This window comes from Homo sapiens, chromosome 2, assembly GCF_000001405.40.
Source record: "Homo sapiens chromosome 2, GRCh38.p14 Primary Assembly".
NCBI classification, from domain to species: Eukaryota; Metazoa; Chordata; class Mammalia; order Primates; family Hominidae; genus Homo; species Homo sapiens.
The window spans coordinates 19,524,580-19,536,203 of NC_000002.12; positions in this window are offsets into that span (position 1 = coordinate 19,524,580).

Genomic DNA, 11,624 nt, shown 5'->3' on the forward strand with positions numbered 1-11,624 from the left:
TGCCCAGGACCCTGACATTGCCCAATCCACAAGCATTCAACCAACTTTTTGTATTGTGTGAATGAATGAAAGAATGAATGAAAACTGACATCCAAAGGCTAAATGCATGAGAAAACCAGTGGGCAGCTATCTACTCATTCATTCATTCATTCATGTAGCATCCAGTGTTTGAACACTGAGCACTGACTGACTACTTGGTTATTTGTAGACCGAAACTCCTCCTGCTGGGCTGAGCAGCAGTTTGGTCTGTGCACATTAATTCTACACTCCACCCATTGAGGCCATGTGGCACACTGGCTAGGTGGTTAACAATGTAACTCTCTTCTGCATACTCTTTTTAAAGGTCCAACTGAGTCTATAGGGGTGAACTGCAGAGTAAGACAGAATCCTAGATGAACTGGTTGCTCATGCCTTAGCTTATGGAGGCAGTGGTGACCTTGGTCTGGAGGGAAGGAAGAAATGACACCAGGGCAAATCTTTCTGCCACTAGCTCAACACCTGCCTCAACAGCCAGGATAATGGCAGCCAGAATGTTCATGGCAAGGAAGTGGGGTCTGAGAGACCTGGTCATGGGGGCCAGAGGTCAGCATTGAGAGGTAACAGTTGAGCTAATATGGGCAGGACTCATGACTTCTTGCTTGGCATTCCACATGGTGAACCACCTCCTCAGTGAGGCTTTCTCCCTACCATACCATAATAGGAAATTACCTGAATACTACTGGTCACCATTTTTCTATTGTAAAGGAGTTTGGCTAGTACAGTCTCAACAAACTTCTTAATAAAGTTGCCTGTAAAATAGGTTCACCTGATAACTACATCATCTTGTACATGAGGCATATTTAAAGACTCAAGTGTCTAGGCTGGGCTGAGATAAGAACTCATAAAATGCACGAAAAGATCCAAATGACTCGTGTCTGCAAATATATCCCAAAAATATTTTCTACACTCTTTTGGTATGTCTAGCTCTGATTGAACCAGGAAAAACCAGATGTTAAGAGAAAAAAAAAATACCATGAAACAATTTGTCTGACAATTTTACAAAAACAAAGAAGAGATTAGATCATTCATTTCTCAAAATTCCAGAGTGCCTACTCTGATCTAAGTGGGTCTGCTTATCTGAAATTATACAACAATCATGCCTAATGCCAAATCTACTTTCTACAAAAGATATGGGGAGCTTTGTTTCATCTCTGTAATAATATTAACTAATATGGTGAAGTACTTTAAAGTTTATAAATCATTGTTATATTCATTATATCACTGGAGTTATTCAAAACCCTTCAAGGTTGTGAGGGCATATTTTATTACTATATTTATACTTAACTGAGGAAACTGAGACTCAGGGAAGTCTGCCATAGATAGTGTATTATTTTTATACTTAAGACTTACAAGCCAAATCCAGTCCTCTTTCCATTACTCCCTACCACTTCCACACCACAATTTTCTTTCCTTTTTAAAAAAAAATTGTATTATTTAAAAATAGAAATTTATTCTTCAGCTCCATCTGGGTCTATATTCTAAACAAGTAAAACTACTGTCTTGAGTAGATATTTGCACTTCCATATTCATTGCAGCCTTATTCCCAATTGTCAAATACGGAAACAACCTAAGTGTAGACAGATAAATGGACAAAGAAAATGTGTTATATACAAACAATGGAATATTATTCAACCTTAAAAAAGAAACAAATGTCTCAAGTGTTCTCACCACAAACACACATACAAATGGTCATTACTGAGTAAGATGATGGCTATGTTAATTAGCTTAATTGTACTAATCACTGCACAAGGTATAATATATCAAAACATCACATTACATGCACTAAATACATACAATTTTTATTTTTCAATCATACTTCCATAAAGCTGAATAAAAGAAAAATGGAAATTTATTGAGAGGAAAAAAATCTGTCAAATAAGTACATTGTGTTGTGAAGATAAACAGAGGTTATCAATTTTCTCCATTTTTCAGTTTTTATGTCTGAATTAAAAAATTTTACCTTATTTTATCTACATAGATCTTAGAAAAAAATGACAAGTCCTCCTAGAAAAACATGAATGATGAAGCCTAAATCTGACCTGTTTCTGCCTCTGTGTGCTGGAGGAATGAGTTAATAGTTCTGGGCTAGTGAAGTTTCATTTGAAACACTTAGCAAGTTCACGGCATGATTTTATTTTTGAGCTGAGTTCTTGTAATTTATTTTAATTTTTAAAACGATTTTTATTCATCAAACAATTGGCCAAAAATATTTACTTTTAGTTCTATGCTAGAATCTGAGGCAGACTTGGATATACAAGATACAGTCTACTCCCCAGTTGTTTTGAATCAGCGTGCGAAGGCCAGGTACACCAGAGGCCAGCACCCAGGCGGCAGGTCCCTGGATGAAGCCACAGGATAGAATAGGGAGAATGGGCCAGGATAGTCAGCAAAGCCTGCGTGTGAGGAGAATGTCGGCAGAGACCATCTGCTGGAGCTAGGCTCTCAGTAACTTGCTGTCAGAGAGGATACATGTGCATCAAAAACATCAGAGCCATAAACCTGATGTTTGGAACTTGGGTCATCAAATCTGTTTAGTTGTTATTTTCCTTTCCTATCTGGAGGAAAACTAAGGTCTAGAAAAGTTCCTTGGACATGATTCTTTTTAATTGACTAATTAAAAACATTTTATTTTACAACACTTCTACTTCCAAAATACATAAATATAGATCCCATTAATTCTTCCCGTCATGCCCAAGACGAGCACAGGGCTTCCTCTCTTCAGGTGGGGAAGCAACTTCCTGGAGGTGTTCATCTGCATGCTGCTGACTGCGGGAACCAGTCCTTTTCTTTATTTTTTTTCTTTTTACCTTGAATTTATTTCAGATGGCATATTTTGGATCATTCACACAAAATATGAAAAACAGAGCATAGTTATTGTTTTGTTAAGATGAAAAAAATAAAGACTTAGATAAGTAGATTGATGATCATTTTTGAAAATACCATTAAGCACATACTTAAGTATCAAAAACTTCAAGTCAAATCTTATTACAGTGTATTTCAAAAGCAAAGCTCAAATCACTGTGGTTGAATTGCATTTCATAAAATATTTGTTGAAATAAATGTCATTGAAACATCATTATACAGTTATTTTCTTTTCCTATTTATTGTCTTCTCATATTCTTCTCTTTCTTTCTACTCTGGGCTCATTAATTGTCCAGTGGGGGTGTGTGTGAGTGTATGTGGGTGTTTGTGTGCATGTGTGCTTTGTTTTGGCTTTTTTCCATTATAATATTCTGTCACTCTTCTTATCCACACTTCTAAAGGGTGGAAATAAAAAACAGGAACTTGGACAAACCTCACCGAATATTGACCTTAGAATCTTGAGATTCAACACAAAAGCCTAGCAGTTTCCTCCAAGTTCACATGGAAAATTAACAATCTTTGTTCTATATTACATGACCGCCATGTCAAAAATCTTAATTCTAGAACAGGTCCAACACAGCTGGGCTATTTCAAGGCTGCAAAGAATTCCTGATAAGGCCTGTCATGGCTAGATTGGGTCCTCTCTTTGGGGTAAAGTAAGTGCAAGTTGACATCTGAGGGATGGAGAGCTTCCCTGGAGCCATCGAGTTTCCTCAAACTGAAACCCCTGCAGTATCTTTTATTCTCTTCTTTGCTCCACACAAATCACAGCAACAAATACAAATGCATCAAACTTCTGCTATAAACTTTAATAGCCTTGGGCCCTCTTCGATTTGGACCACTGCAAAAGTTTGAATTACATTTGATGTTTTAAATTTTAAAAAATATCAGTGCCCAAGGAGATGGCCTTTCAATTGCATGGTTTAGCAGTCTCATGTGAGTATATGCTTCCTAAACAAAGGATATGTTGCAAATGTTAACACTGCTTTTACCAGAAATCAGCTTCTGTGCAAACTTCTTTCTGTTTTAGCAGGGAGCCATCATTATGCCCATTTTGCATATGAAGGACTTGAGGGTCAATTAATTGGATTTACTTGCTCAAGATCACAGGGCTCCTATTTACTTGCTCAAGGTCAGGAGACCTGGACACATTCCCCTTTCTCTTTCAGAAAGCAAAGTCAGGTCCCAACCTGCTGAGGAGCTTGAGCCTCTCTCAGGTGGCTAAGGAGTCCAGGCAGGGTCCTTCAGGAGGAGTAGTCAAGAGCAGGCCAGGATGTGGTGTAGGCATCAACTTTGGAAAGCACAGAGTGGAAAGTGGGTTTCTGAGCATGGAATTTTCTAGAAGGGAGAGCTGCACAGAAATGCACAAAGAGTACTGATTGTTTGCCCATGGCCAGCTGAGAGAGACCTGCACACAAGACTTCTTGGGCCAGCTGTCATTGAATCAAAATTTAGAGAGTAAAAAGCAACTTGCTCTCCCAATACCACTGGCCCCTCACTCAAAGACTCCTGTATTCCCCATTAGCCAGTTAAGCACAATACTTGTCCCCCTCCACGACCCCCTAGGAGGACTTGCTTGCCCAACTCTGCATTTTGGTTGGGTCTTAGATTTGCTTTCCTGCAGCTGCTTGCTCAATTCCCTCCTGTGGGTAATTGGGGGATGTCTTTAAAACCAGCAGACACCTTCCAGGGTCATGCTTGAGGAAGGAAACTGAACAACTTGGCTTGTCAGGAATTCCACCCCAAGAAAAAACCCCTAGTTAAAGAGCAGCCAAGGTGGGAGGGCACGATTTCCTATCTGGATCCCCTTTCTTTCCATCAAGCCCATAAATCTGAATCCATTTTTCTCCCACTATAGGTTTTGCTTTCCTGTAACTGGTCCCTAATACTCCAGACAGTTGTCTTCACTTAGGCTCTTGGCTGGTTATGCAATGACTTCTGCCTCCAAATCAGCAAAGATCAAATCCTCTCTGCTATCTGATAACACTCTCCCTGCCTCCCACTCGGGAGTTGATGAAGGCCCCTAAAGAATAACTGGGTCTTCTCTTCAACTCAAGCATTTGAAGGAAAATCACTAAGAGTTTTGCTTTTCTTTGCCCTCCAGAAAATATGACTGCTTATCCCTTTTTTGTTGTTGTTGTTTTCTAAAACCCTTGATGTTGCAGACTTCACTTACCTCCAAAAGGAACCTCACAAACCCTCTCTGCAAGCACTTGCTGTGGGAATTGGCAATTTCACAAATTGGGTTTTTCTCGTTTTAAGCTGATGAGTTGGACCCAACTAGCACACTCCACTTTCTCTACTAAGAACCACCCTCTGTGTTAAGGAAATAACCTCCACACTCTAGAATACTTACTCTCCCTTTAAAGGAGATCCTGATTCCATGTTTCCCAACCAGCTCCTGAAGTACATGTGTAAATAACCTCCGATTACCCTTTCCTCCCAGATGGCAGACAGAGTCAAACACACAGTTTAAAAGTAATATGCATAATGAATTTTGTATGTGCTCAAGGGATTATCAAAGTGTAGCCTTTAATGGGTAATATAACTCCCCGGAATCTATACATTTATCTTGGGGTGTGTGTGTGTGTGTGCATGCTTGCACACACACAGTCATTTATAAGGTAAGACTGTTAAATGGCTCAGTCTTCTCCACCATAAAGTCCAGATATCTTTATCAGAGCTGCTAGGTCATTCAGGATCCAATCTCTGTTTACCTCCAGACTCAAATTCCCATTCTCCCTTCTCAGCTATGATTTCTCAATTCCAACTACATTGAACAATTAATAATTTCTGAAAAGTATTAATCAAATATCTGGATGCCTGCACATGCTGTTTATCTGTCTGGCATGTCTCCCCTACCCCAATTCTCATCTGCCTCACACACACCTGACTACCCTATGGCTCTCAGCTGGGAAGAACAGATCCCTGATCTTTAACTTCAGCTGTTGGCCTCTCCTCTGTGGTCCTATCACTCCTAGCACTGAGCCCCAGAGAAGCACCTATCCCACTGTATTAAGATAATGTATTTACTTCCCAGTCTTTCCTTGAGGAAAGGAACTATGACTTGCTATAATCATATCTGCACTTACTTATATAGTGCCTGCCTGGCTTGTAGCAGCTATTCAGTAAAATAGTCATTGAATGAAGAAATAATTGGATCAATTAATTATTCAAGAGATGTTATTGCAAGAACCTGAGCAGAGAGCCCTATGCATATCATTCTATTATAATGTCTCTGCTACATTTTAATTCTTGCTGGGATCACGCTGTCATGAAAGGGATTAAGATCAGAGGTGCTTATCTAAGCACTGCATGTTTCCTTCAGGAATAGGACAACAACCCTCCTTTTATTTCTCTCATTTTTAACTTTCAAACCTTTGGATTTGACATGTATAGCATGTCATAGTGGCGAATATAAAGACAAACTCTGGAGGCACAGAGTCACCTTTCCAAGCACTTTACTTCCCCATTGCATTCTTCCCCACTTCTGTTTCCCAGGACAAAAACCAGAGTGCCATCTTCACCTTTGCTCTGTCATCAGGTTCATCTATGTTTTTCCCTCTTAAAGAAAGACAATCTATAGCAATCTCTCTTCCCTTCATTTTTTCTAAAGCCACCATTCTAGATAGGTTCTCCATAGGTTCACAACTGGACATACACAATTAATTAATTCCTTCTTTCAATAAATATTTACTAAATAGCTGCTGCGTGCCCAGTAGGCACTGTGCAAGCTCTCTTCTTGCTTCCAGTCTTGGTCCTGTGACCCATCTGACATATACTACCAGACCAAGCTATCCAAATACCATACATGATATCCAACCCTTCCTTTTCAAGGCCTCCTTGGTTTCATTTGCTTTAGTCTGTGAAGATGAGACTAAGGCCAGGTTCTTTTCCTCCAATTAAATGTGCACTATGCAGTGAACAAAGCACCAGAAATGGCTAAAACTGAAGGAAACTTTATTGCCTCCACATGTCACTCCTAGGACCACAGGAAAGAGAGAGTCTCAGTCCAAAGGGGCATAAGAGTTGACACTCTTATGACACCAGGTGGAGAGTAATCACGTGTGTGTGTGTGTCATGTCAGGGCAGCGATAGAGATTGGAGGAATGCTGGACACTTCCAGCAGCCTGCTGTACCTTAAGAACTATTGGAGTAATTACTCAAGGCTTCTTCAAAGGCCATCATAGTAGTTATAACAAACCAGAACACTGGCAGGGATCTGATCTGACGGGTGTCTTGTTGTGTCTGGTTGCCACAAGGAGAAAGCCAGGGGACTCTTCTTACTATGGAACTACCTGTACATTGACACCCAATTTGTCCAGAAATGACTAACTCATCAAATCTTTCAATGCATCTCATTAGTCAGTAGTCACATATTTGTAATTTGAATAAATTATTTACACCAAAATTCAACCAACTACTCAGTGTTGCACATTGTTTCCATTTTAATTAGAACCCACGGGCTTCAACAGATTTAGAGAACAGTCTGATGAATATGAGTAGAGACCATCATTACAATGATAATTTACTTGGAAGAATAACATCCCACAAGAGAAATTTGATCCATGTTATCTGCTACAGAAAACTCAGAGGCTTTTGTTCGGCCTTTGATGCCTTCTGTAGTAGGGTCCCGACCACTTCAGTTTCCCTCACACCTCCCCAACACATGCACCACTCATGCTGGTCCTTGTTCTGTCCCACCGATATGCCAGTCCTACTTTGGGGTTCATGTGCTTAAGCACATAGCCTTCCAATCTCCTTGACAACCTCTGCATATTGAAAATACTCACCCTTTGGGACTCAGCCCAAGTTAGGTCTCCTTGGTGACAGATTCAACTATATCAGCTCCTCCTCCTCTTAATTCCTTTAGCTCCTAACTGTTCTCTATTTAACAGCAATTACTGAGTCCTTGCTATGTCTCAAGAACTATTCTAAGTGCTGTACATGCATTTGCTCATTTAATTTTAATGACAACCCTTTAAGGTAAGTACAATTACATCCCCATTTTACAGAATGAACTAAGGCACAGAAGAATTAAATAAATTGCCCAAGGTCTGTGCTCTATTTATCTGTTACTGCATAATAAACACCTCAAATTTAGTGACATAAAACAGCAACTGTTTTATTATGCTCATGAATTCTGAAGGTCAAGCAGAGTAGGGGTATCTTCTTTCTGCTCCATGATAGTTGCATCTCAGCTAGGAGGACTGGACTGACTAGGCGGTGACTTGAATGCTAAGTAGCTGGAATCATCTGGACTCTCCTTCATTAATATGTCTGGTCCTTAGAGCTGGATAATGCAAAAGCTGAGCTCTGCTGAGACTATCAACTGGAGCACCTACCCATGGCCTGCCCATGGGTCATGGGCTTCTCACAGCCTGATGGCTGGGTTCCTACAGGACATGTTCTGAGAGGAAACAACCAGACAGTGAGAAGAGATGAAAGCATAGAATGCAAGTCTTCTTCTGACATACCCTCTGAAGTCATGCAGTGTCATGTCTGCCTCAGTCTATGATGACAAATGAGTCACTGAGATCAGTCCAGATTCAAGAAAGGAATCAGACTCTACTTCTTGCTGGTGGAGTGATGAGGTCATACTGCAGAAGAACATGTGGGATGAGATATGTTATTGTGGCCATCTTTAAAAAATGCAACCTGACACAGTCTTGAAGCTTAAAAGTGACAGAACCAGGCTGTTGCATAATTGTTAGTTTTTTTTCTCCTAAGATACAGTGTAAGATCTTTTACAGCTGAAATTATAGCTTGAGTTTCTGACACTATATGATAAAAAAATTCATAAGCCAAAATAAATGTTGTTATTAATTATTTAGAAGAAACCAGAGAGAAGGGATAGTTAAATGGTATGGGCTGTCTTTTGAGGTGATGAAAATGTTCTACAATAAACTCTGGTAATGATTACATATATATCTACAGTAAAGGCCATTGAACCGTACAATTTAAACAGGTAAAATATATGGTGTATGAACTATATCTCAATTAAACTATTTTTAAGACAAAGTATAAATTAAGACATTCCCAGATAAGTAAAAAATTGAGAGGGTTTAATACTAGCAGACATGCTCTACAAGAAATGCTAAAGTGAATCCTTCAGACTGAAGTGAAAGGACAAGAGTCAATAACTTGAATCCCAATGGAGAAATAAAGAATATTAGTAAGGATAAATAAATAGAAAAATATAAAAGTTAGAATAAATGTATTTTGGGTTTGTAACTTCTCTTTTTTCCTATGTGATTTAAAACACAACTACATAAAACAATAAATATAAATCTATGTCAGTTGGGATACAATATATAAACATGTAATTCAATAGGGAAAACTAAGCTATATAGGGGGAAATTTTTATATACCATTGAAACTATTTTGGTACTAATTTGAACTAGATTGTTATAAATGAAGACATTAATTGTAATCCCCAAGGCAACCACTAATAAAATAACTAACGCAGAACGCAGTGTAAAATAAATAAAGAGGTAATCAAAATGTTATGCTAGTAGACATCAATTTCACACGAAAGAAGACAGTAAGGGAGGAATTCAGCAACAAAAAAAAAAATATGACATATGGAGTAAAAGGTAACAAAATGGCAGAAGTAAGTTTTACCTCATCAGTAATTATATTAAATGCAAGACTCAGATTCTCTAATTAAAAGGCTGATATTGAAGAACGGATTTTTTAAAAAGTTATCCAACTATATGCTGTCTACAAGAGACTCACTGTAGATACAAAACAGCTTGAAAGTGAAAGGGCAGAAAAAGACATTCCATACAACAATAACTAAAATAGAGCTTAAGTATCTATATGAATATCATATAAAATAGGTTTAAGGCCAAAAATTGCTACAAGAGATGAAAAAAGGATATTGTATAGTGATAAACAGGCCAATTTATTAAGAAGACATATAAATTAAAAATATATACACACCTAACTTCAGAACCCCAAAATATATGAAGGAAACATGGACAGAATTAAAGAGAAAAAGAGAAAATTCCACAATAATAGTTGGAGAGTGTAATACCCTGCTTTCAATAATGAGTAGAACAACTCGACAGAAGATCAGTAAGAAAGTACAAGACTTGAACTATACTATAAACCAACTAGACCTAACAGACATCTACAAAACACTCCACACAACAACAGGAGACATATTTTCTTAAGAACACATAAAACATTCTCCAGAATAATCATATGTGAGGTCACAAGTCTCAATAAACTTAAAAAGATGGAAATCATACAAAAGTATCCTTTCTAATTACAACAGAATGAAACTAGAAATCAGTAACAGAAGAAAATCTGAAAATTCCAAAAATGTATGAAAATTAAACAACACACTCTTAAACAGTTAATGGATCAAAACAGGAATCACAGAGAAATTAGAAAATACTTTGAGACAAATCTAACTAAAAACGCAGCATACCAAAACTGATAGGATATAGTGAATGCAGTGCTTACATAGAATATATGATTATGTGTCTATATTTCTTAAAAGAAAGATCTCAAACCAATAACTTAGCTTTACACCTTACAGAACTAGAAAAAGAAGCGCACACTAAACTGAAAGCTAGCAGAATTAAGAAAATAAAAAGAGTGAAGATATATGAAATAGAGAAAAGAAAAAAAAAAGTTGATTCTTTGAAAAACAAATCAACAAAATTGACCTGACAAACCCAGAAAAAAGAGAAGACACAAATTACTAAAATCACAAATAAAAGTGGGTATATTGCTAATAAGCTTACAGAAATAAAAAGGATTATGAGAAAATACTACGAACATTTATATGCAATCAAGTAAGATAGCCAAGATAAAATGAATAAATTCTTAGAAGGAAAAAATTACCAAAAGTGACTCAAAAAGAAATAGAAAACCTGAACAGACCTATAATAAGTAAAGAGATTGAATCAGTAATCAAAAAACTTCCAACAAAAAAAAATCCCAGGTTTCATTGGTGGACTCTACTAAAGGTGCTTGTAAAAGTAACACCAATTCTTCTCAAATTCTTCCAAAACTTGGAAGAAGAGGATGAAATACTTTCTGATTTATTCTATGAAGCCATTATTCCCCTGATTTTAAAGCCAAAGAAAACTATAAACCAATATCCTTTGTGAATATAGATGCAAAATTTCTCAACAAATATTATCAAACTGAATCCAACAACACATTAAAAGGATTTTATATCATGACCAAATTGCATTTATTCAAAGAATGCAAGGGTGGTTCAACATAAGAAAAGAAGCCAAGGTACTATACTATATTAATAGAAAGAAAGGAGGGAAACCCCATATGATCACCTCATTGATGGAGAAAGAGCAGTAAAAAAAAAAAAAAAAAAAAAATACAACACCCTTCCAGGATTAAAAAAAATCAATCTACAAGCTAGGAATAGAAAATAATTTCCTCAAAACAAAAAAGGAGATGAAGGGATTAAGATGGTGGACAGGAAGTAGGACTAACTTGCAGCTCCCACTCAAATGGGCAGAGCAGCATGTAGAGACTCATATCGTAAACTTTTGCTCCAAGAACTACCACATGAACATACCAAGAAAGCCAAGAGAATCCACAGACTTTTGAAGGAACTGGATTACCACTGCAGACTCCCTGAGATGCCAAAAAACTGTGAGTCTGCTTGCTTTCTCAATGGGGGAGGCTCGTGGTCTGGGGCAAGTTCTCAGCCCTGGTCACTGGCTGCCCGGAAATAGACTCAA